Genomic DNA, 27,208 nt, shown 5'->3' on the forward strand with positions numbered 1-27,208 from the left:
GCAAAAACACTTTGCTTATTATTACAAGGGAATATATATTACAAGTTGGTAAGTAACATGGGCTCTTTATAGCACATGTTTTTCTTATTGGAAAAGGATTATATGGTAATATTTTAAATTAAGAATGAAAGGCTGGGTTTAGTGGCTCACGCCTATAATTCCAGTGCTTTGGGAGGCCTAGGTGGGAGGATCACTTGAGGCCAGGAGTTTGAGACAAGCCTAGGCAACATAGCCAGACTTTATCTCTAAAAAAAAAACCCCAAAATTATCTAGACATGGTGGTATATGCCTGTAGTCCCAACTACTTGGTACACTGAGGTAGGAGAATTGCTTGAGCCCAGGAGGTTGAGGCTGCACTGAGCCATAATTGTGCCACTGCACTCCGGCCTGGGAAAGAGAGTGAGACTCTGTATCCCAAGCAAAAAAGAATGAAAATTTACTTTATGAACAGACCTCTACTGAAGGAAAAACTATCTCCTGGATTCAAGCTATATTAAGCATTAATTAGTGGTATCATCCCTGTAGCACCTGAACAACACCTCAGAACAGATAGTAGTGGCCATGAGACTGGAGCGGTGAGCTGGCATCCTCTTTTGTGCCTTGTATTACCCCTTTAGTTGATGGATTGAAGGGAGGCTTCCAGATTAGTGAGGGAGAACTTGGGGGGAGTGGGAGATGAGGGAGTGGGGCGGTGGCTGTTGATCAACTGGAATGCAGATCTTTACATATTTTAATAATATGCATATTTATGTGATAGAAACATGTTTGCAATTCAGTCTTGACTTTTTTTTTTCCTATTTTTAAAAAAAACTGTATTTCTTAAGCACCTAGGTTGAAGTTTGCTAGCAAAGAGAAATATCTAGTTTCTCGTCTCAAAAACATTAATAGCTACCTAAAGAAAAGCAGCTAAAATGTCTAGAAAGCCAAATAAATTTTATATTTAGGTATAAATTGTTTGGAGAAGATTGTAAGTGTTATGTAAATTAAAGAAGGGAGACTCCTCTGTGGCCAGGAGTAATTGAGGAATAGAAAATTTACTGCGAAGTAATTGGAATTTGGATTTGAGGGGTGGACAGGGGATAAAATAGGCATGGAAAAGGATGTAGATAGAACATTCCTCAGGTAACGAGAACAGATAAGCAAAGGAAAGGGATGCCCATTCCTCCCTTGAGCACAAGGGCAGATTGTAGACAGGCCTGTGTAGGTGCTAATGGCTCGTGTGTATGCCATGTTGACATGTTAGATTGATGTCAGGGATATTTTGATAATGTTGAGTAGCAAATCAATTCACTTTTTAATTCTTCTTTTTTTTCAATTATCAAGTAATATGTACAACACATTTGCTAATTTTCATTCTATGTCTTAGCCACATTTCTTGCAGATTCCAAGCCCCATAGAAAAAGATCCCCTGGGTCAAAATAGCCTTGTTAAAATGGACACCAGAGTTCAACTCTGAAAAACTGGACTCTAAAATAGTTACACTTGAAAGGCTAAAGTTAGCAGTTCAGGCCTAGAATTAATTTTTAAAGTCCACTCCTGGGTCAAGTGCAGTACCTATTAAGAAAGACAGCACAAGAGGGAGAAGCTATCTATTTGTATCCCTTTTTGTGTTTCTCTAGAAGGAACAGTAACTCATGTGAGGCAAAATCAAGCAAACGTCTTAATTTTGCTATCCAAGACTCTAACTTGGAACTACAGAGTATTGAGGTGTGTGTCCTCTGACAAGTGATAGCTTAATAGGCTATATTTTTGAGATTAAAAAACATACCAAAATATAGCCGATAGATAAAAATAGGTGAAAACATATAGATTTTTATTTAGTTTCTCACAACATCATACCTATGATAACCAATATTAAAACAGGAGTTGTCTGCTCTTAAGAGTTTATGTTCATCTTTTCTATATTTTTAATCTTTATGCAAGAGGTGAGCCAATCTTATGAATAAAGGTTACATGTTGAAACTTAGCAAAATAATTTTCTGAATACAAGCATATACTATCAAAAATGATGAAATGTAAACAAAGATGTGCTCAGATTATTTCTCCCTCACAATTACATGTCTACAGTGCTTTCTTGCTAGGCATGTCTGAGTTTTAAGAAAGATATGCAAAATATTTTACAAATCATGGGTACCCACCTAAACAAAAGAGATCCAGCATAAAAAGGTATGCGACTACACTGATGCAAAACAACTGATTATTAGGTCCTTATATTTTCTCTCTAAATAACATGTGACAGCAGTCACAGTCTATACACTACACCATTTGCAACTTCTTTTTATCCGGCTTAATGATATCATGTATAATCCTTAGGAAAGAAAATAATTATTATCTTCGAGGATTAAGTTAGAAAATCAAGGAAGCATAAGAATTTTCCCTCCCTCCCTCCCTCCCTTCCTGCCTTCCTTCCTTCTTTCCTTCCTTCCTTCATTCCTTCCTTCCTTCTTTCCTTCCTTCCTTCCGTCTTCCTTCCTTCCTCTTTCTTTGTTTTCATTTAAAGTCTAGGAATCACCTTTATAATCATCCAATGCAGTTATTTTAGCACTTCTTTTTTAGCCTTGAAAATTTTTCAAAACTCATTTTTTTCCTGGAACTCCAGTGTATAAAAGAGAGAACTTCAGAGTTATTCTGGCTAGAGAAGGCAAGCATTGGGAGTTCCTGGGACTTCATTCACTCTACCTGCCACTCTATAATGGGTGACAGGAGGAAATACTCAAAACTTTTGGGATCTAGTAAAAAGTCCTCATTTTATGTATGATAAAACTGAAGTCCAGAGTAGAAAAACTTTCTCAAGTGCAATATTATATAGTACTGTTTTGTGTAATGTATCAGATTGTATTATAGGATAAAAAGAAATTAATTTTATAAATAACAATCTGATATTTTTTGGCTAGAGAGTTTACCACAGTTTAATTATATGAGTACTGACACTTGGAAATCTTTGATATATTACAATAGTATAAATAGAAGCATTAAATCAGTATGGGAATAATACTTTTTAAGACATATGAAGATAGAGATGGGGTAAGGAGAGGAAGTTGCAGCATGTTTAGGTTCTGCCAACCATAATAGTGGGATGAGCCACACAGTGAGCTAGAATTTGATTAATGGAGCAGAGCATCTATGTTTCACAACAATCACTTCATGGGCATCATGATAATGACACTATAGTAAAGCAACCTAAATGCAATGATATCAAATTCAAATGAAAGAAATACAACAAGTAAGAAACTAAACATGATCTTGTGAAATTCCATTTGATTTTTGACAGCTGAATTGAAGTTTAAGAAGTGTTTCAGTGGCAGATAAAAGTTAAAACTGTGGAGAAAATGGCTTGCATAGGAAATTAAAAAGATATTTTGAGCTTCTGTGCCTGAGATTTTCTTGAACAAGGAATCAGTTTGTCTTCTCTCCTACTGGTGTTGTCTTCAAAATTTAATCTATTTTTCCTAGGAATATTTCCAGGAATAAATCAAGATTTGGACCTATGTATTATTTCTAGGAAAATTTCCTGAAATAAAGACTTGAAACTACATATTCTTCCTGGCAAAACTGTCCTGCGATGGCCAACATTGGGACTTATTCTAGTGAATCTTTTGGTCTTGAAATGAAATTTTTTTAAAAGTATTTTCACTATGCAGAAGAAAAAAAAACAGAAAAAATATCAGGTCACTTCCACGGGAGAGAAAAACATATTGATGTCAAACTCTTTGACAAGGATGTTTTATGCTGTAAGACAAAGGACTAATATATGTAGGATACTCAAGGAAGGAAAATGTGAGCCAAATGTTTTCTATTCAGGCAAAAATGATTTTCAGTATCAAAGCTGTGGGCTAACACGAACATGCAAGAACTCAGGACATATTGTTCCCGTGCAACCTACCAGATAATATATTTTAGATAACCAAAGTCACTGGAAAGACATTGGCATAGTATGAGTGGTGAGCCCTGAATACATATATGACTATAGAACTAGTACTAAAGAATAAGCATGAGAGGGATGGTAGAGTTGTGATGGTTATACACTATGCAGATTTAGTAAAATTATTAAAGTGGGAGAAAGAGAGAAAAAAATTGTCTTAACTACAAGATAAGCCATAAATGGAAAAGACAAACTAAAACAGATGATATTGTGAAAGGGTAAAACATGAAACTATCATTAGATATAACTGAGGCCAAACTCATCAGTCATGTCAAAAACACACATGGCTTAATTTATCAAAACAAAGAAAATAATTTTCAGATTGGCTAACAGAACAAAATATAGTAGTATGACATATAATAGGACTGTGAAACATAAAGTGACTCAGAAAAGTTAAAAACAAGAAAGTGAATATGATTCTACTGAGTAGGAGCAATTGAGAAGAAAGCAAGGTTTGCAATCTAGAATCCAGATGACTGACAAAGTGGGAGTTAATTTTTCTTTTAAAAAAAAAGCAGTAAGGGAAGCAACACATAGTACTTTTCTTTGCTAAAGACTTACAGTCAGTTTAAAGATTTAACATAGTGAACATTTTTATAAAGTAAAAACTGCAAGGGATGTAAGGAAAAATAGAAACTGTTTCAGACTGGGTTAACCAAGAAATGCATTCTGAGACAATGATATGAAGTCAATTGGGAGATAATCCGACAAAGCATGTGTACAGTAGGAGAAAGGTGATACAGGAAAAGTTAAGGAAGCCAGGAAAGGATGTCTAATCAGTGATTTTTGCTGCAGGCCACGGAAACCTATCCTTGCTAGGAATTCTGGAAGACAATATAGAACAGAGCTCAGAGTTAGACCACAGCAGGGGCAGGACACCCAGGAAACATTTTCTCCAACTTATATCTGGTATTGGCCTGAGGGCTTTTCTAGTGTCATCAACTGTCTCATAAAGGCGGAAAAACTTCAAGCAGAAAGTCACGAGAACACCGCTGATATACACATAAGACAGTGGGTAGTAAAGAAACATAGCCAGAACAATATTAGTAATGTGATGCTACTCTATGTCCATGAGTATCATATGGACAAAACAATTCAAATTGAATATGATTGAAGTATGAGTCTTAAATACATACACATGTCTGTACATATATATCTATGTTTATAAATACTATACATGTATATCTCTATCATATATAAATATAAAACTGAAGAACAGAAGACATGACAATTGACCATAAAGACACTGAGGTTGCAAAGAGATTTCAGTGAATTCACATCCAAAGATGAGAAGTAATATAAACATTGATAATACAAATACTGTCTCTGTAAATAGAATAAAATTAGAAATGAATTAGTTTAAAAACCATGACCTTTACCAATTTTACTGCCTTAAAAAAGCATATAAAAATATTTGAACAAATGATGGCAAATCATGTTCATGAATTGAAAGAATATCTTAACAAATTTAATTATTCTCTAAATGTTGATATATAAACTTAATGTAATGCCAAGTACAATTCCAACAGAAGTTTTTTTCTTAGTTGTTGAGAATTAGTTTTAAATGACTCATGATTATATAAAAATCAATTAATAGCCGTACATAGAAAAAGTATGTGAATCTTAAAAATAATGGTAAAGTTTCTGCTATTAGAAAAAGTATCTCACTGATGAGTATTAGACTATATACAAATATGGCCAGGCGCAGTAGCTCACACCTGTAATCCCAGAACTTTGGGAGGCTGAGGAGAGTGGATCACGAGGTCAGGAGTTCAAGACCAGCCTGGCCAAGATGGTGAAACCCCATCTCTACTAAAAATACAAAAATTAGCTGGGCGTGGTGGCAGGTGCTTATCATCCCAGTTACTCGGGAGGCTGAGGCACGAGAATCATTTGAACCTGGGGTGTGGAGGTTGCAGTGAGCTGAGATGGCGCCACTGCACTCCAGCCTGGGCGACAGAGTGAGACACTGTTTCAAAAAAAAAAAAAAAAAAGAATATATACAAATAAGTCAGTAACATGGAATAGAGAAAACAGATTCTGGTAGATTTGAGAATGTAGAATTTTATATATTTATATTTGAGAATATATATATACATCAATAACAAATTTAGTGTATGAGAAAAGTAATATTTCATTTCAGTGGAGGCAACGTAATTTAATAAATGTAGCTGTCACAACTCCATCTAAAAGAAAATAAAATTTTCATGTAACTACATGTATTAATTTGTGATGGCTGCCATAAAAAAGTTTCACAAACCGGGTGGCTTAAACAGAAATTTATTGTTCCACAGTTCTTGTGCCTAGAGGTCTGAGATCAGGATGTTGGTTGGTTCTTTCTGAGGGCTGAGAGGAAAAACCAGTTCCAGGCCTCTCTCCTAGCTTCTGATATTTTTGGGCTATCTGTAGCACGCTTTGGCTTGTGGATGCATCACCCCCACCTCTTCATGTTCACGTGCATTCTCTCTTGTGCACTTGTCTGTCTCTTCACAGGCCATTCTTTTGTAGGATCCACCCTACGAAAATATGACCCCTTTTGAACTTAACTAATTACATCTGCAACAATCCTGTTTCCAAATAGGATCACATCCAGAGAGCGCAGGAGTTAGAACTTCAACATATAAATTTTGGGGGGACGTAATTCCAACCGTAGTTCAAACACTGTATATTCAAATTTCAATTGTACTAAATATAAACAGCTGAATAGAAAACAAGCAAATATTTTGAAAAGAGAACTATTACAAGGTTAAGTGTTCACATTACCAATAAATACATGATTAAGACCTGTCCTTCCTAGTAATTAGGAAAAGGATTATTAAAGTATTATAACATTTTGACATATACACTACACATATTTCATTGGTAGAAGGAAAAATAAAGTAGATAACGTTGACTGGCAAGGATGTGGAAAACGGAGTGTTCTCAAACATAGTAGAAAAATGAGTTTTACAGCATATAAAAAGTCACCTAATGACTTCCTTTATCATTTTATGTGCCTATCTTCTAATAATGCCATCCCTGCAAATCTATTTCTAGAAGTAAAAGAACTGACATATATCAACATATGCAATTGGATGTTGATGTCTTTGACTGTAGTAGCAAAAAAGTAGGTAAAATGATTATTTTGTAATAAGAATATGCTTAAATATTTTGTAGTTTATTTATATCATGGTATATTTAAGTCATTATAATGAATGAAATAAATCAATAATAGATGGCTTGGAGACAGAGTTACAGGAGAAAACAAGATGCAGAGAGCTACAGTATAAAATAATATTTTTGTAAAACAATTGAAACTATATAACTTTTATGTTTAAATTCACCTTAATATATAGAGATATGGTATATTACAATGAAACCTATTAACCTTCTTCATTTCTTTATAAGAATACAAAGTAACATATAAATGAAAGAGTACGAAATTGTGAATATTGAATATGTAAGGTGGACAAAGGCTAGATGAGGATGGGCTGAGGGTAGGAGACAGATAAGAATAAGAAGCAGCAAAAAGAGGAGAAAGAGGAAAAGGAAATCAGCTTTATTATTACAGATGAAACTTTATGAAAGTGCATGACTTTTTAACTATGAATTCAACAGTAAAGCCCTTGAAACTAGAAATAGACAGATAAGTAGATTTTTTTTTTTCCCTAGAGAAAGGGACTGGTTCTGTCTCCCAGGCTAGAGTACAGTGGCATGATCATAGTTCATTGTAACTATGAATTTACATAGTTACATAGGTTTGCTCAAGCAAACCTCCCTGGCTAATTTTTTTTTAATTTTCAGTTCTGTAGAGATGGGGTCTTGGCTATGTTACTCAGGCTGGTCTCAAACTCCTGGCCTCAAGCAATCCTCCCGCCTTGGCCTCCCAGTGCACTGGGATTATAGGCATGAGCCACCACAGCCGGCCCCAAGTAGAGTTTAATCTAACACTGTAACTTTCCCTTACCCATGCTCCCTAAGATTTTTTTTTACCCAAGACCTTAAGGAAGTACAACTGAAAACAGATATGAAGATAGCTTGTATATAATATATTTTAAATTGTTGTGCTGCACCTTGCTGTCGACTCAGCATCACCTCACCATAATAATCTAAGGCTGAGAACCATGGTTCCCAGAATCCCTTTTTCTATGAGGGAATTAGCATTTGTCAATAAGAGGAACTTGTATGAGAGTTGAGGGAGAAAGAGTGGAGCCATCATTCTCAGGAGGCTGTGTGGATCAGATACAGTTTAATACAGTGGCTGCATTAAACCATTTACAGACCAAATGAGTAAAGTGGCTTCTCCTTTCCTGACAGATTTCTGGCTGATAGAGTTATATATGAATAGAGAGTTATCATACAGAAAAGAAAGTTAAATTAAAATAATAGCCATAATAGAAGAAACCACTAATTGAGCAGTAAGCTCAGAGTCACAGAAGCAGCCATCCCAGAGTGAAGCAATAAGGGTGTGCTGCATTGTCTGGAAAGAATTCATATTTTAAAAATCAGCTAAATTGCGTTCCACTTTTTATTATCATAAGACCCACATTTCTATACCGTGTCAGGGATAAAATAATCCTCCCTGCAGGGTGGGACTCTCCCAATGCCCACTGTTCTTGGTCCATCACTGGAATAATAACAATTAATGCATCAAAACACGTACATGCAATGTATCCCAAAAGATATAGAAGCATCTTGGCAGGTGGAACTTGACTGTAAATTGTTTCAATTGAGCTATAATATCTACATAAAACATGCATCAATTAGAAGTGGTTATTAAGGGTTTGTCAGCAATGGGAACTTAGAAAAAGACTAGACATAATGACAGTATCTGTGTTCAGGGGTCCTAATTTTTGGACTGTTTTCTCTTTTTTTTGGTGACAAGGTTGAATTTAGTGAGGAAGTAGATTCATTAGGATTTCAGCAAATGAAGTTTCATTATGAGTGATAGACTATCTAGATTGTGAGAGGAATGGTGAGGTGATTTTAGCATAATGTCAATATATATTCTATTCATCTTACTCTCCTTATTTCATGCTCCACTAGAAACCTACTGATTGGATCTATCTGCCCAAGTAAATTTGCCTAAATGTAGAGAAGACACTGATCATGCACACTTAGAATATTCTTGGACTTGAGGAAGTAATTTCTTATTGTAAATGTAAAACAAAAAAAAAACAGTCTTGGTTTCATTTTAGTGAAAATCACTCACCTGGGTTTGATTATCTCTAAAAATTTTAAGAGCAAAGGTGTGGAAATTCAGCAACGTAGCCTTACTTTTAAAAACGTTTTTGCTAGTTTTTGCAGAAAATACCATTCAAGCTAGAAACTAAGCTTGCCAATTATTAATTCTGAACACCTTCTCTTACATTGGGTGACTATATATTATCCTGACAAGTGCTGTGGAAAAAAATGATTATTGTTAATTTATACCTTGAAATGCAGTTGAGTATTTGCCAAATAATGAGAAAAATGACCAGGTATGTTTTTGGATGGTGGGGAGGAGAGAATTCCGAATACTTGATTACATGCACTTGCTTCTTTAGATTCTTTTAAATTAAAGGCCATACGTGGTTTATTTGGCAGGTTTGGCACAATCTTCCGAGTCAACCACCATCTTTGCTGCTGGTTTCAGTGAAGAAAGGAATATAAGTGCAAAGGACCATTAACTGTTTTCATGTCTTCCGTCACTACAAATGATGAGGAATTCATTTGAGCATACCAAATTTTAGAATCTAAATAGTCTGACCTGTTCCAAGAAGAATTTTCAGCAGGCTTCCTTTTCAGATTTTCTTTGTCTAGATTTTAGTACTAAAAGTGTTTTTTTTCCCCTCCCTTTTTGTAGTTTAGAATCTATTTGTGGGAGTTGTAAAGGAAAAGAGACTCAACCAAACTAGCTAGCAAAGTGATTTTTGTCATAAGAATACAAAAAGAATTCATAGGAATAACCTTTGAATGTTAACTGCAGAGAGATAAGACTCACCGGAATGGAATTTATACAGCCCGATCACCTCTCCCTTATGTTTCTTCTTCTTTTCCAGTTTCTGCTGTCTAATGACTGGCTTCTTATCTCTGCTTTTAAGAGACTGCATGGGCTCTGAAGCTGTTAGATGAAATTAAATGAAAATGATATTTTTAAGCTCAAAAACAGAGAGATATTGTCAATATCATAGCATCCAACTATATGTGAGGCTTAAGATAAAAACCCTCGTGTAAGTGATCTTGAGCAATCTGTGTCCCAGTTTCTTTAGCTGTAAATCAGTCTAATAACAGAACTTAACTAATTTGGTTACTTTATGGGTTATATGAATTTTGATATATTTAAAGTACCAAGAACAGTTTTTGAAAAAATAGGCACCACACAGTGTTTGCTTTTATTACATCTGTTACTTGATTTCTCTTTAGTACTGGACATGAATTTTACCCGGTCAAGGCTTTTACTACAGTTTATCCCTTTTTTTCTTTCTTTTTATATTTATTTATTTATTTGTTTATTTGAGACGGAGTGTCACTCTGTCACCCAGGCTGGAGTGCAGTGGTGCGATCTTGGCTCACTGCAACCTCTGCCTCCTGGGTTCAAGCAATTCTCCTGCCTCAGCCTCCTTTGTAGCTGGGATTACAAGCACATGCCACCAATCCCAGCTAATTTTTTGTATTTTTAGTAGAGATGGGGTTTCACCATGTTAGCCAGGCTGGTCTTGAACTCCTGACCTCAGATGATCCATCTGCCTCACCCTCCCAAAGTGCTGCGAGTACAGGCGTAAGCCACCATGACTGGCCCTTTTTTCTCCATTCTATTACTATTGGCTCTCTTTTTTTCCATTTTCTTCACTTTTCTCCTTACTTGTTTCTCCTAACTTTCTCACTTCCAGCCTTAGCTAAGCTTCCTGAAGGTCTATGGATTTGCTGACCTTCATCCATTGACCATCACTTGTATTGGTTACTGGTAGAGGTGGAGGTGGAAATAAAAGGGGTAAGACAGTAGCAAGCATGGTCATCAAGATAGTAGGTTATGTCAGTGAGCAATTCTCTCAGTAGGGAGAAGTTAAAAGTTGACAGTATCTATCAAAGGATGTGCATTAATAGAATGAATATCATTTATTTATAGAGGTTGTATGGTTTTAAAAACATACAGGGGTACCTCTGCTTCTAAGAAGGTAGTGTAGATTTACTTTTTCCTATTCCCCCCACTAAGTATAACAAATTATTTTATATTTTATATACAATAATTGTATATGTGTGTATATACATATATACACACAATTGTACATATGTATATATATTAAACAAATACAAGATTTTGAAAGATGGAGAGAAAAGAGCAGGCTAGCTAGGGGCCTCAGGACCAAAGGAATAACATAGTGGAGTTCCCTGGGTTTTCTTCTTGCCAGCTAACATAGCCCAGCCTGGATACTAGAGACAAAAACTGGAAATGTCAGCAAATGTGAATAAAAACATAAAATGACAAAGACTCCTCTTTCTAGCCAAGGGACCATGAAAGTAGCAATCAGCAAGACAGAAACTTTTTAGACTAAAACCATTCTACTACAATCACATACCACAGAAAAAGCTGCTGCAACACACCACCATCAATAGCAAAGGCCAAGTAGAGCCCATGTAGCTACCCTTGCCAGACTGTCACAAAGCAGCCAAACCACTGTGCTGAAAGATGTCAGAAAAATCCAACTGGAAGCTGGCTCATAAACCCCCACTAGATTGTAGGGAGCCTCCCCTCCCTCACTGTGGTGTCTGTAGAGACCACATGCAGAGCCAGAAATTCTATGCCCATACTTCCAGCAATGATGTGTTCTTCTCTCTCCCTGCCAGGGAGGTGTCAGATGGGATGCCTAGTGGAGTCAGATTGTTCACCACCATTCAGTGGTGATAATGCCACCACCCCCATAATATCAGTGGAGGTCACGTGGGGGAACAGTAATGAAGCAACCCTCCTCCTAGCTAGGGAGAAACTGAATGAAGCCCTAATGGATAGCCTGAACCCTCACCTTTAACCAGCAGTAGGAGCCCTTCTCTGCCTAACTGTTAATGGAGGCCAGCTGCTGAACTCGGACTTTCATCTCTACTTGGCAGTAACAACATGGGAATCTCTGCTTCTGTGGTTATATTGCCTGCTTCTCTTGCATAGTCAAGTGTCCTTTTGCCTCTCTTTTACAAGGATATTTGTGATTATATTTGGGTTTACCTGGATAATCCAGGATAATCCCCTTATTTCAAAATCCTTGACCTAATTACATGTGGAAAGACTTGTGTGTGTGTATGTGTGTGTGTGTGTGTGTCATATAAGGTGTTATTTGTAGGTCCCATCGTTAGGATGTAGTTATCTTTTGGATCCATTATATAGCCTACCACAGATGCTAACACAGAGAAGATACAGGTGTTAGAATTATTTAGCAAAGATTTTAAAGCAACCATAATAAAAATGCTTCAATAAGCAATTAAGAGCATGTTTGAAGCATGAAAAAATAGACAGTCTCAGAAAAGAAATAGAAAACCTCAGCAAAGAAATAGAATATATAAATAAGAGCCAAATGGAAATTTTCGAACTAAATTATACAATAACTAAAATAAAAAAAAAAGTCAATGGGACAGATCAACATAAAATGAAGACAGAAGAATCAAAAGTTAGAATAATGTAAATTATCATTATCTAATCTGAGCAATAAGGAGAAAATGGACTAAAAATATAAATGAGCAGAATCTCAGGAACATGTGGAACTAAAAAAAAAACACATTAAATTCATAATATTGAGTCCAAAAGGAGAGGAGAAAAGGGATGAGGTTAAAAATATAAATATGAACATCTCCCAAATTTGGCAAAAATCATAAACCTATGGATTCAAAAAGCTAATCATAGACTAATCAGCATAAACCCAAAGAAATCCACACCAAGACACGGCGTAGTGAATCTTTTGAAAACTAATGTGAGAAAAAAATCTTAAAAGCAGCAAAAGCAAAAGATCACCATACTTATAGGGAAAATTTTTAAGTAACAGTGGATTTCTCATAAGAAACTGTAAAGCCCGGAAAGTAATATGACATTTTGTTGTTTTGTTTAGATTTATTTTTATTTTCACTTAATTTATGCAGAATTTATTTCTAGACCCTAAATTTATGTTTCTTCAGTTTCTTCTGGGATGTCTTTCTCTTCTGTACAACCTGCTTTACTGGTTTGGAAACAATTTATTCTTTTTAGTAAAAATCATCTCAATGTAGCAAAGTTAGCTAATGTATGAGTTAATTGAACTGTAAAGTCAGTAAGTATGGTGGTATCTTGAGTGCTTTGTTCAGCTGGATATCTTTGACTAGATAATCTATGTCTAAATTCAGCTAACCCTTAAATTCACTATTAATTTGTGCATTTTTAAGCATGTGTAGCAACAATTCAGCACTCTTTTTAAGCCATCGACCTTGTGTCCAACTGTATTGTTTGACTTGGGTAAGCCCAACAACTCCACTGCTGTAATGATAAAATAATATGCATTTCTTCTGTAAAGGGACGTCTTTCAGATTCACAATGATATTTTGAATATGCGTACTCTTGATGGTCTGGACAGTTTTAGTTATTCTTAAAGTGAATGTGAAGATTTGAACTTCTAGATTTGTGGAATTTTGTAAAATTTTCAGGACAAATGAATAACAAACCATTTTTCAGAGGTCATCTCAGATTGTTTATTGGAAGAGAACATTGTTTTTCAAGTGCTGAAATTAAAAACAACCGTCAACCCGGAATTTTACATCCAGTGACATTATTCTGCAGTAATATAAGGAAAGTAAAGACATTCACAGATGAAGGAAAACTAAGAGAATTTGTTACCAGCTACCTACCCCAAAAGAACACTAATAGAAATCTTCTAAATAGAAAGGAAATGACAGTAGAAGAAATTATGGGGATATCAGAAAAGAAGAAAGAACATGGAAGAAGAAAAACTATGGTTAGTAAATTAAACTTTCTTTTCCTCTTAAATTTTCTAAGTGCTGTTTGATGGTTTAAGTAATATTATAATACTGTCTGATGCCTAATGTGTTTTTAATGTATGTAGAAGAAATGTTTAATAATCATATTATAAATGGGAGAGGGTAAAGGGACATAAACAAAGATGGTTTCTATAATATTCTTCATTTGAATTAGTAAAATTGGACACCAGTACATTTCGGTAAATTATGTCTTGTGGTAGGCAGAATAATGGCCTCCAAAGATGTTTATGTCCTTATTCTCATACTTTTTGAATATGGTAGCTTACATGACAAAGGAAATAGAGGTAGCTGATGAAATTAAGGTTGCTCATCAGCTTACCTTAACATAGGAAGATTATTTTGGATTATCCCATGGACCAAAAAACAAAAACAAAACAAAACAAAATCCAAAAAACGAAACAAAGAATGTGAAAGAAGAAGGCAGAAAGGAAGGTCAGAATGACATGACTTAAAAAGGACTTCATCTGTTATTTCTGGCTTTGAAGGTGAGGGAATGGCACCATGAGTCAAGGAATGCAGGTGTGCTTTAGAAAAGAGGATGACAAGAAAACAGGTTATATTTAGTGTCTCTAGAAGGGAGTACAGCCTGGCTAACCTTTATTTTTATCCAGTGTAGCCTGTGTCAGACTTCTGAGCTGTAAACTTCTAAGATAATAAATTTGCTTTGCCTGAAGCCACTAAGTTTATGTTAATTCATTACGGCACCAGCGAAACACTAATTCAACTGCCAATCTAATTTATATGTTTAGGAAAAACATATATCAAATGTAACCAAACACACTATCAAAAACTGATTAAAAAATCAGAAACAATGGAAGGCAAAAGACAATGAAAGAACACCTCTAAAAGTGGTAAAAGAAAAACAAAACACTGTCAATTCAGGTTTGTAAATCCAGTAAAAATATATTTCAAAAAAAAAATAAGGCAAGACAACATACAGATAAATGAAAGCTGAGAAATTTGTGTGTGGGACCTGCACTGCAAAAAAAAAAAAAAAAAAAAAAAAAAAATAGCTAAAGGAATATTCAGGGACTAAAAAAAAAAAAAAATTGTATGAGATCTGTAGGAAGAAATGAAGATCACCAGAATTGATACTTATGATAAATATGTAAGACCATTTGTTTCTTCCTTTAATTTTTTTAAATTTTCTTTTTCTTTTTATTTTTATTTTTTGAGATGGAGTCTCGCTCTGTCGCCCAGGATGGAGTGCAGTGGCGCAATCTGGGCTCACTGCAACCTCCACCTCCCAGGTTCAAGCAATTCTCTTGCCTCAGCCTCCTGAATAGCTGGGACTACAGGCACCCATCTCCATGCCTGGCTAATTTTTGTATTTTTAGTAGAGATGGGGTTTCACCATATTGGCCAGGCTGGTCTCGAAATCTCGACCTTGTGATCTGCCCACCTCGGCCTCCCAAAGTGCTGGGATTACAGGCGTGAGCCACCGCGCCTGGCCTTTTTAAATTTCTTTAAAAGGCAAACTACTATTTGAATAAAAAATAACATTCCAGTGTTAAGTTTATAACATATGCAGATATGAAACATTTTTAAAAACATACAGGCATCTGAGAGTGGGAAAATAGAATTTTACTGTTGTAAATTTTTTATGTTCTACATAAAGAAGTAAAAGATTGAGTAGAATGTGACAAATTATCATAGATATATACTATAAACATTAAACAATGATATGCCAATACATATTCTATGTAAAATATTATATGATGAACTTCTTATGCCAATATATTTGACAAGTTAGGTGAAATTGAAAAAAGTTCCTTTAAAAACCACTATTTAATACTGTAAGAAGAAGAAACAAAGTCAAAGTAGTCCTTTAATGAATTAATAATTTAAAAATTTCCCCAGATGGTTTAAATCATAAATTCCTATTAAGCGTTTAATGATGAAATAGTACCAAAGTTACATAACTCTTTCAAAACACAAAGGAGAAGGGAATTATTTCCCAACATATTTTATAAAACTACCATAACCTTCATATCATGACACTGATGTCATAACCCTGATATAAAAAAATTTGACAAAAACATTACAAAAATAAAATAGAGGCACATAAAGGCAAAAATACTCAACAAAAATATAACAAATTAATTCCCACAGTGAACAGAAAATATACCATGTTCAAGTAGGATCTATGTCAGCAATTCAAAGTTAATCACTAGAAAACATTCAGTGTAATTAAATATATTCACAGACTAAAGGGAAAACATTTTAAATATCCCAATAGAGGCATTAAAGTCAGTATAACATATCAATTAATGATATACATTTCAGCAATATAAAAATGAAAGGGAATTTCCTCTATTCCTGATAGAGGACTTATGCAAAAATTTCATCATATTCAGCACTGAAACAGTAAATACTTTTCCTCCAATATCGGAACCAAGATTAAAAAAAGTTTGTTCTCATCACTTATATTTAATAATGTTCTGGAGTTCCTAGTAATAAGCCAGAATAAAAATAAAAGAAAAAGAAAAGAATCACATAAAAAAGAAAATGTAAATATTTGCAATTATGTGATTATATATATAAAAAAATCCTAAGAAATTTATAGGAGATTCTAAAACCAATAAGTGGAATTAGCAAGATCATAGAATACCAGGTACATAACACAATATTTTATTCTAGCAAATAAAAGTTTAATACTGTCTCTGAAAATATTTAAAAAACACAAAATAAATATTATCAATAATAATAAAGAATTAACAAAGATACATTCATAATGCCAAATGATTTTTAAGAGAAATTAAATAAGAACTAAATAACTTGAGTATGTATTATATATATATTTAATGAATTGGTAGACCAATTGTTTTATGTACCTGGTATTATTCTAAGTTATTACTTCATGGTGATGGCTAAAATTCCAAGAGCTTAGAATATCAAACGTTGGCAAGAACAAGAAGTAACTGGACCTCTATCTAGCACATAGTTGATGAGAGTGGAAAGTTATACAACCACTTTGAAAAATGATTTGGCAGATTCTCATAGAGTTAAATATGAATCTATTCTGTGACTCAGTAATTTCACACTTAGGTATCTACCCAAAAGCAATAAAAACTTATGTCCACAGATAGACTTGTATATGGTTTAGCAGTTTTATTCATCATGGTTCCAAACTAGAAACAACCCAGATGTCTATCAGTAAGAAAATGAATTTAAAAAACACTGTGGTATATTTATACAATGAAATATTGCACGCCAATTAAAAGTAAAAAAGGAACTACTGATTCACGCAACTTGCATCAATTTCAAAAACATTATGTAATATATGTGAGAGAAACAAAGACAAGCTACAGACTACATACTCTTTGACTAAATTTACATAAAGTTTGAAACAGGTAAAACTGATTTCTGATAAAAATCTGATCAATGGTTGCCTGTGACTGAAACAGGTCAGGAAAGAGCTTTCTGCGTGATGGAAATATTTTCAACTTAACTATGGTATTGATTTCACTGGTACATATCTGTATACTTTAATCAAAGCTCATAGAATTTTATGCTTTGGATTGTACGAACAATTAATCTTAATAAAACAATAATGAAAATAAGGTTTTATAACATTGCATAACTTTGGTTTTTATATAAGAAATTTAAAAGAACTTAGGAATTGTTCATTCTTCTCTTCAACCTTTCAACCAGATGCACTCACATTTATAGCACACATGTAATATATACCCACATACATAAAAATTTTACAGATTCGGATTTGGATACTAAGGGAAATTAAAGGACTTTTCTGAGTTCATTGAGCTAGTGATAGAGTTAGGATAAGACTCAGGCTTCTAGCTTCTACCCATTCCACTGTATTTGGTTCTCTCTTCACAGTATCATACACCATATATAAAACACTGCACATCCTTTTTCATATATTGTAAATAATGAAAACAAGACACAACAAAAATATTAAGGAGAGCCTATAAACCCCTGGATTAGTAACTATTTCAATCTTGATTACGTTGCTTTAAAAAAATCTGTAACATGCTTTTTTATCCTAGGTTTCAAGGATCTGTAGGTTGTTTATGAGTGGACTTTGGAAGGTTTACAAATCTTTTGAAATTGTATGCTAACTTCTGTGTTCATGTAGTATGCTCATTTTTCTGATCAGTAACTCCCACTGATTCTCATAGATTCATTCACTCCTCCCTCAAGAAATATCACTGAAAAATTAAGGATTATTTCCCATTTAAAAAGTAAATGTAAATGAACTTTGAACTTTTGTATAAACATGGAGTGATAATGCACCCCAAGCAAGAGTCCAAAAGATGAAACTACAAAAAATATATACATATAATTGACTATGTGACATTTAAAACAAAAAATATACTCAGAAAAACTTGAAGGAAAAAGTAAAACATAAATAAAACATAGTAATCAATGAGTTGACAATTTTTATAACATATTTTTAGAACAGTGCCTGTTATAGTGAGAACTATATTTATTATTATGTATGCAAGATAAAGTTATTATTTGAAAAATTAATAGTATAAAACATTCTTATAATATATTGGGTTAAAAATAACCCTAGAATTATAAAAGTGCATATCTCAAGGAAACTACCAAGATGTTAGTCATTGGGTTGTAAAATTACTAATTATTTTTGTTTTTATTTTCATCCTTTCCTGTATAGGCTATCTTTCATAGAAATAGTCTCATAAATCAGCAAAATGAAAAGCATCCAAACAGAAAAATTGAGCAAAGCATATGAATATACATTTGAAGAGAAGGAAATGCAAATTATAAAACATATGAAAATATCTTCTTCATCACCAGTAATCAAAATGATAGCAATTTAAACCACAGCAAGATACTCGTTTTCATGTCTCTGATTATTTACATTGAGTATCTAGCTTTTAACCGTACATTCAGAAGAATGCTATACAATGTTAAAGATATAAAAAAAGTGTTGCCGCTGGAAGACATTTTACATTTAAAGTAATTTAAATGCTTTTTTTAAATCTCTCTTATCTGAAGACTATTAATTGTATGAAATTGAATGGTATTGTTTTGATCTGGCACTAATTTATATTAATAAAATGAAAAAATTAATTGTAATGGCGATTAATCTTATCACATGCCATATATATATATATAATTTTTTTTTCTCCTGCAGCTATTTGAGAAATAAGTTGTTTGGAATAAAAATTAAGCATTGCAGCGTCAAGGAACAATTGTGGCTACCCAGAAAAGTATAGAAAATCAAAAGTCTGTCTAGTATGAGATTTTAAGGTTGGTGTTGCAACAATTCAAGCCGAATCAAGCTAAAAAGAAAAAATAAATAAAGCCAACAAGAAAACGTCTGAGCGATAAAGTAAATATAGTAAGGCCTATAATTGAGCAGCTGCAGTTCTCAAGAATTATGTTAAATTTCTTTGCCTGTGCTTTTAAATTTAATCCTCAAAGTATTCATGAATTAAAGAGACTAATATTCTGTATTATAAATTGTGGAATTGAACACTGGAGAATAAAATTACTTACTCAGGGTCGTTTAGTTACTGACGGGCAGAATCTCAAATCAATGCAGGTCGACTCGTTCTGCTAAAAAGTACGAAATGCTATATATCCGAAGATATCTTTAGCAAGAAATAAACACAAAAATACAAGCACTGTGAGTTGCAGCATCTTTTAAAATAGAGAACAGTATAATTGTACATGAGATGCATATCCCAAATTTCTCAAGCCTTAACAGCTGGTGGAAATGAGCAAGGTTCAGGAACCAACCATCAAACTGTACTTTGAACCTAAAGACTTGTTCAACTTTCTGTGAACTACTTGTTTCCATTGATTTTTTTCTTCTTATTGATTTGTTTTCCCTCAGGGCCCTGAAAATGGATGTGAATTGAAGTTCACTCAGCCTATGAGAGTAGATTAGAGTTACTGGAATTGCAAATGTGGACAGAGTTTAATTTCCCATCCAAAACCCCCCAGGGCATTTTAGCTGCCATGTAAGCCAGCTCATTACAATATAACACTGAGAAAGCATGGTTCTTTTTCTAGAACTGGATTACATATGCACAATGAAAAGTTACAACATGTTATAATGGTTTTGCGTTCTTTGTTACCAAAATAAAAATTGACAAAGTTTTTAAAATTTTAGACATCATTTTTATAAATTATAAAACATTGATACTGAGAAAACTGGATAGCTCTAACATTAGGGCATTTAAATTACTGGAGAAGTAAAGATGCCAATTGGCAGACCACAGTCATCCTGTAGCCATGGTTTAGTCGAATTACGACTTTTGCATGGAATACTTGATTATCAGCATAAGCAGGCAAAGGTCAGCCTTTAAATGGCTTTTCCTCCTTCTAAACATATTTTCGAGTTTATATAGTCCATCATTAGAGCCCATGATATATAAGAGATAAATCGCTCTTGAGAGTGAATTAAGAGACCTATATTGTAGTTTATTTTATGTCCAGCTGATTTGACATTAGACAGTTCACACGATCATTGCCTCCAGTTTTCTCAACGACAAAGGTCTGGAAATTTGGACACTCCTTACCTTTCAAATCTCATCTCCAGCTAGTCTTACTAACTTTTGGTTGCACAGAAATATTTTCAGCTTCAAATATTCTTCCAAACTTTTTCTTGCCTAAAACCTTTGCACACATTGTTGAGGTGTCTATTCGAAATGCTTTTCCCTAAGTTCTTTACATTGCTGATGACTTCTTGTCATAGTTTTGATTAAATGAGCTCCCTTCAAAGAGGTCTTTGTGTTGAACTCATCTATGTAGGTCCCTCCCTTCTGCCTCATTCCTAGAATTCTGTATTTTAAGATTTTGTAGGACATTAATTTATTTATTTTTATTATATGCTTATTTGCTTACATCACTATACATTTGTTTACCCCTTTATTCCCTTTCTCTGCCAACAAAACTAAATTTTCACAGGACAGGATCTAAGATCTTATGTGTGTGGACACACATACTGTGCTCCCTCTAGAATTTCTCTTTATGAAGCAATGGCTTCAGAGAGGGCTGTTCAGGCAGTATGAATGCAGAACTCAAGTCTAAACCCTCAATATCATGTCCTTTGGCTACCATCCAACTTGTTTCCTCATTTATTTATTTGTCTTTTTGACAATATTTTGCCAAGTTACACAGTCCTATCTGAATTTATAATTTACTAGGTATTTATTTATTTATTTATTTATTTATTTATTTATTTATTTTGCTACTAGTAAACCCTGATTTTTTACTGCCTCCAATACAATACAGTCCTGCATCACATAATGACCATGTGGTCAATGATGGACCACATATGTGATAGTGGTCCCATAACATTATAACAGAGTTGGAAAATTCCTACTGATAGGGACAGGAGGCAGGGAACTTCTTAGCAGAAGAGGTGGGTCCCTGGCAATGGCCTCACCCTTAAGCTGAAAAGCCTGATATGGTGGCACAAATTGGGAACTAACATCCCTGTTTTCCTGCTTGAATGTTACCTTTTCCAAAACCACCCATGGCCTGCCCTGCCCCCAATCCTATGCCCATAAAAACCCCAGGCTCAGCTGGCAGTGTGAGGAGAAGCAGGCGGACATTAGAGACTATGCTTGGATGTTGAAGAGAAGCGGCTTGACTTCAGAGGGACAGCTTGATGGTATAGCTTTGGAGATGAGTTTGGCCAGGGATGGCCAGTCTCCAGGGGAAGATGACCTTCCTGCTCCATCCACTTTTCAGCTCTCCTTCCCACTGAGAGACAATTTCATCGGCAATAAAATCCCCTACATTTGTCATCTGCAATTCGTTCATGCGACCTCATTCCTCCTGGATGCCAGACAAGAACTTGTGTGCCACGAGTGTGGGTGCAAAAAGCTGTCACACTGACTCTCCACTGAGCTGTTAACACTTAAGCCATCCATGGATGGTAAACTAAAAGGACACTGTAACACTTCTTCTGGGGCTTCAGGGGTTGCAGGCACCCTTTTCTAGATGCTGCTGCAAGGCTAGCATGGAGTTTGCTGTTGGCTGCGCCCAAAGGTGCTTGCCCCAGCTTCTGCACCTGCTCACCTGAGCACCCCCTCCTGTGAGGGGTGGAGCAGCGATTGATTGGAGTTTTCCCCTGCTGGCATCCAAGCACTCCAGTTCCTGCCAGCAAAGGGATCAGGGAAATATCCTGCTTCACTATTGCCTTATAACAACACTATTGCCTAGAGATCACAATGACATAGCCATCATAAAGTCGTGGCACAACACATTATTCATGTGTTTGTGGTGATGCTGGTGTAAACAAACTTACTGTGTTGCCAGTCATATAAGTATAGTACATACAGTTATGTACAGTACAAATACTTGACAATGATAACAAACAACTATGTGACTGCCTTTGTATTTACTAAACTATGCTTTTAATAATTAGAGTGTACTTCTTATAAAAAGAAAAGTTAACTGTAAAACAGCCTCAGGCAGGTTTTTCAAGGGGTATTGCAGAAAAAGGAGTTATTATCACAGGAGAGGACAACTCCATGCCTGTTATTGCCCCTGAAGAACTTTCAGTGGGACAAGATGTGGAGGTGAAAGATAATGATACTGATGACCCTGACCCTGTGAAAGCCTAGGCTAAGGTGCGTTTATGTCTTAGTTTTTAACAAAAAAGTTTACAAATTTTAAAAGAAATAGAAAAAAGCTTATAAATAAGGATATTAAGAAAGAAAATATTTTTGTTAACTGTACAATGTATTTGTGGTGTAAATTGTTACTACAAAGGAGTCAAAAAGTTTAAAAAATTAAAAAGATTCTAATATAAAAAAGAGTAAGCTAAGGTTAATTTATTATTAAAAAAAGGAAAACATTGTTTTTACAAATTTAGCTTGCTCTAAATATTTATATAGTCTACAGTAGTGTATAGCAATGTTCTTGGTCTTCACATTCACTCACCACTCACTCACTGACTCACCCAGAGCAATTTCAAGTCTTGCACACTTCATTCAGTCAGTGCCCTAAACAAGTATAACGTTTTTATCTTCAAGACCATATTTTTACTGTACCTTTTCATGTTTAGATATGTCTGTTACACCAACACTTGCCATTGTGTTACAGTTGCTTATATTATCCAGGACAGTAACATGCTGCACAGCTTTGTTACCTAGGAGTAATAGGCTATACCATATGGCCTAGGTGTGTAGTAGGCTATATGACCTATATTTGTGTAAGTACACTCTATATTGTTCACACAACAATGAAAGCACCTAATAACACATTTCTCAGAATGTATTACTGTGGTTAAGCAACACATGATTGTACTTTGTTTTTATGATCAACATTTTACTTATCACTAAAAAATATTTGTTGAATTAATAACTAATCAATGAATGAGACAATAGAAAAAGATGATTTCTGTTTTCCAATTCTAATTCTTTTTTTTCTTGCTTGTTTTTTTTTTTTCTTCTTTTTAAGTAGCCGGGTGTGCTGGCACACATCTGTCATCCCAGCTACTCAGGAAGCTGAGGTGGGAGGATCACTTGAGCCTGAGTGTTTGGGGCTGCAGTGAGCCAGGATTGCGCCAAAGCACTCCAGCCTTGGTGACAAAGAAAGAACCTGTCTCAACAAAACAAAACAAAAGAAAACACACAAGCAATTAAAGAAAAAAGAGAGATGAAAAATACTTTTAAATGATCTCCTTGTTTCTTACCACCCAGACCACGAGTAATCATCTCCCTAACTGCCTAACTTTTATGTAAACCAGATTAGTAAATTGAACCCACCAGCTTTATTAGTATTCATTAACTTATCTGTAGGCTATATATTTTTCTTCTATTTGGAATTATAAGGCGTGTGTTGACTTGAGACTCTGCCCTTCAATAACTCAACCATCTTGGTAAGTAATTCTTTTTCTTGAAAGCTCCAATTTCATTATTTATAAGTAAGGGATTAAACTCTTCACTTCATGGCTATTTTTAGGACTAAGTGAAAGAGTTTGGGTGAAGAAACCTAACACAGTGCTTAAGATGCAGTGTTACATTTGCTCTTTTAGTATTGTATCCTCTAAGTTATTTTCTCTTTCATAAACAATGCTTTTTTAGCTCTTTAAGTTTCTCCCCGGTAGTTTATTATTCATTCCTATGTGAGCAATATTCAAATATTGCTTTATTCTATTCCTTGTACATTTTCCTTTATGATGGTGTCCTAGTAGAGATGAGATTATATAAAGTCACTTATAAAAGATAGCTTTAAAACCATTTACATTTAAGCCTTCTTTATTCTGGATAACTTCATCATCCTGGTTCGACTAAAATGGAAAATATTGTTTCCCTCTATCCTGTTTGGTGTATGTTATTTTTGTGCATAGATTTAGGGGGAAAAACAAGTATGATGAAAAGAGAGAAGAAACAGAGCAAGTGCTGGCCACAGAACTATTTTGAGAGTCCTAGTACATCAGGAAGAAATATGCATTTAAAATAGATGTGTTCTCATTCCTTAGTGAGCAGCTTCCTAACAAGCTAACCCACTCCATGACAATCTTCATATTAATTTCATTTGGCTACATTCAACACATTTGACCTGTAAACACTAGATTATCATAAAAGAAGCTTATCTTGTATCAGAATGTTTTTTGGTTTTCCTAATATTAACCCAGTTGGTTATAAAATTAATTTTTGTAATCATGAAAAACACCATTCTGAATTTTCTAATGTGTGAAAAAATAATTGTGTACTTTTAAGAAGAGAATGATTTTATACTCTGAATTGATGAAATGCGTCACGGAAGAGGTTCTTTCCAACAACCTGCTGCAATTTTTCATACTTAAGTAGTTATTTTTAGGATTAAGAAAAAGGTGCATGTTTTAAGAATAGCTGCTCAGGAAGTAATATCTTCAGTTGTATGCAATAAAACTGAGATTTTGAAATGAAGGATTTTTGTCTTTTATTCTGACAGATTTTAGGGTTTTTTTTTAAATAAAACCATCAGTCATCAGTAGTAGGTTGTATTATAAATCTGTTTCCTAAAGTAGTTTGGAAAACAGAAGTTAACTTTCACAATAATGAGGATATTACGTTTTACCTAGGCTGTGCTATTCCTACTAATACTAACAGAAGTTGTATTTGGGCAGCAGCAGAATTTCATATTTATATATTTACATATATTAACTATGATGATAGTTACAAATGAATGTTTAGACAGGTATTTTGGAGAAAACAGATGAAATATGTTTGGCACACAACAATGTAATCTTTATATAAAATGATTTATCTTTTTGGATCCAATCTAATGTTCAGACTCTGTAATACTTGATTTACAAATTAAAACTCTCTTTAAAAAATGATTCTGCAGCCACATACAAAGAATAGTAAGTCATTTTATTGCCTTTGGCCATGATTATTTGAATGCATTTTCTATTAAAACTGTGCTGGCATTTTCATCATATACACTCAAATAATGTAACTTATTTTTATTTTTCTTTCAATAGTTGTGGCTGTTTAAGAAATAGGAAATTTATAAAGCTGACTCAGACAAAAATAGTGTGTATTGATTATAAATAGATTTGAATATAAAGAGTTATGATGAATTTTTTAAGCTAATGTTTTAAATTTGTGGAGGTTAACTATATTCAGTCAACAGAAATAAAGCTATTTGTTTGCAAATTAACGTACCCCAATGTGCTGCAGGGTAAGGTCAAGTTCTACTAATATTTAATTTTTAAAACATATTTGAGGGAAGTACTCCATTAAACCATTTGCAATTATTTAAAAACTACTGTGTTATAAATTGCTCATGATAAATGAAATGCTCTTAAGACAATTGGAAAGGAGTAAAGGGTTACAGTTTTAATTAAAGAGTAATCCTTATTATTGTAGGCAAAACAATTTTTGGTGTGACATTGAGGTTAGGGATAAATTGCGGCACTGACTGTGAGTCAGTGATTTGGTTGTCAAGGTAATTCTCCAGATTGGAGAAAGGCACCCAGTGATGTTACATAGAGAAACACAGCAATTGCTCCCTATATTCTAGAAATAAGGCTTGGTGATTTAAGTTGAACTTGCAGATGATCAAACTATTACTTCTGGTAATTAGAAAGTATTATTTACAACGAAAAGGCATATGTTTAATTTTAAGGCATATTTTTACTTTTTAATAAAATCTCTGAGAAGTATCAGATTTTACTGTTTATATCAAGTGCAAAGAGCTCATTTACATGCGTGTTTATTTTTTTGACATTCAAGCATAAATAGTAGAATAGTTTTGCTTATAGACAGAAATTCCTGCAGTCCATCAATCCATCAAGCAGTAAGGGACAAATGTTGAAATTTAGGGGCTGGGCGTGGCGGCTCGCACCTGTAATCCCAGCACTTTGGGAAGCCAAGGTGGGCGGATCATTTGAGGTCAGAAGTCCCAGACTAGGCTGGCCAACATAGTGAAACCCGGTCTGCACTGAATATACAAAAATTAGCTGGGCATGGTGATGCACCTGTAGTCCCAGCTACTCTGAGGCTGAGGCAGGAGAATCGCTTGAACCCAGGAGATGGAGATCACAGTGAACCGAGAACACGCCGCTGCGCTCCAGCCTGGGTGAGACTCCATCTCAAAAAAAAAAAAAAAAAAAAAGAAAGAAAATAGAAAGAAATTAGCGTGTGTGGTGTGCGTGTTTAACAATAGGGCCTTTATTTTTAACATAAAAGTAATTTATCAAAGGTACAAAGAATAATACAATGTGCACTTGAGTTCTTCCATTGCCATTAGAAAATAAACATTATTAGCTTCAAACCTGCTATGAACCCTTCCATTTTCCCTCATAGAGATTATTGACATAATCCTTTTATAGTCCTCATATTTCACTTCATTTTAGTTTTACTATATGTAACATTCATAATAAGCTATATTATTTGTTTTTATATTTTTATTTTTATCTGTGTTTTTTTTTCTGAGAATTACTTTTTTGCTCAACATTGCATTTCTGAGATATATCCATGCTGATTTGATAACTAAGTTCAGTGTATTTACTTCTGAATAATGGGAGAATTTGTTAACTTTCCTTTGAAATCTCATGCGTATAAAACAATACATTTTGGTTTTGTTTCCGTTTTTCTAACTTCTGCCTAGTTTGAGTCTCTATTCACTTTTTATTGGTTATTTCTTCATCCTCTATGAAAAGCCTGTGTTTGTTGTGGCTCATTTATCTAATGGATTGCTTCTGTTTTCCTTTTTGATTTTAAGTCTTTATATGTTCTAGCCCTCAAGCCATATTTGATCATTTACTTTGTTACATGCTTTTTTCATACACAGAATTTTTAATTTAAAATGATCCTAATAGAAGTATTCAGTTATAGCATTAGGTACATGAAAATGTGGAAATTGCATTTT

At 34.3% G+C, this 27,208-nt stretch overlaps 2 long non-coding RNA genes and 1 pseudogene across 7 annotated transcripts in view, besides 1 other annotated feature; 1 reads left to right on the forward strand and 2 right to left on the reverse strand.

Moving 5' to 3' along the window:
* LOC105378335 (uncharacterized) overlaps nt 1-19,501 on the reverse strand; it is a 37,450-nt gene extending 17,949 nt beyond the window's left edge. The window contains exons 1-3 of one of the 2 annotated variants that reach the window (XR_946018.3): nt 19,385-19,501; nt 9,885-10,004; nt 6,187-6,438 (exon numbers count right to left, since the gene is read on the reverse strand). This is a non-coding gene — a long non-coding RNA (uncharacterized LOC105378335). Of the gene's footprint in view, nt 1-6,186; nt 6,439-9,884; nt 10,005-19,384 lie in introns of those variants that run through there. The other variant, XR_946019.3, reaches the window with a different exon arrangement.
* Nucleotides 1-27,208, forward strand: part of LOC124902439 (uncharacterized) — an 820,351-nt gene that overhangs the window by 734,770 nt on the left and 58,373 nt on the right. Inside the window, exon 1 of one of the 5 annotated variants that reach the window (XR_007062167.1) lies at nt 23,369-23,726. The exons of the other annotated variants lie outside the window; for them this stretch is intronic. This is a non-coding gene — a long non-coding RNA (uncharacterized LOC124902439). Of the gene's footprint in view, nt 1-23,368; nt 23,727-27,208 lie in introns of those variants that run through there. 5 annotated transcript variants of the gene reach the window in all.
* Nucleotides 13,022-13,564, reverse strand: RPL17P35 (ribosomal protein L17 pseudogene 35; annotated as a pseudogene).
* Nucleotides 23,280-23,480: a silencer, noted in NCBI's record as "peak971 fragment used in MPRA reporter construct". NCBI's record gives its function as "represses an SCP1 promoter by STARR-seq MPRAs in K562 erythroleukemia cells {active_cell/tissue: K562}" and the evidence as "EXISTENCE:reporter gene assay evidence [ECO:0000049][PMID:32103011]".

The sequence above is a fragment of the Homo sapiens genome, chromosome 10 (assembly GCF_000001405.40).
Source record: "Homo sapiens chromosome 10, GRCh38.p14 Primary Assembly".
NCBI lineage: Eukaryota > Metazoa > Chordata > Mammalia > Primates > Hominidae > Homo > Homo sapiens.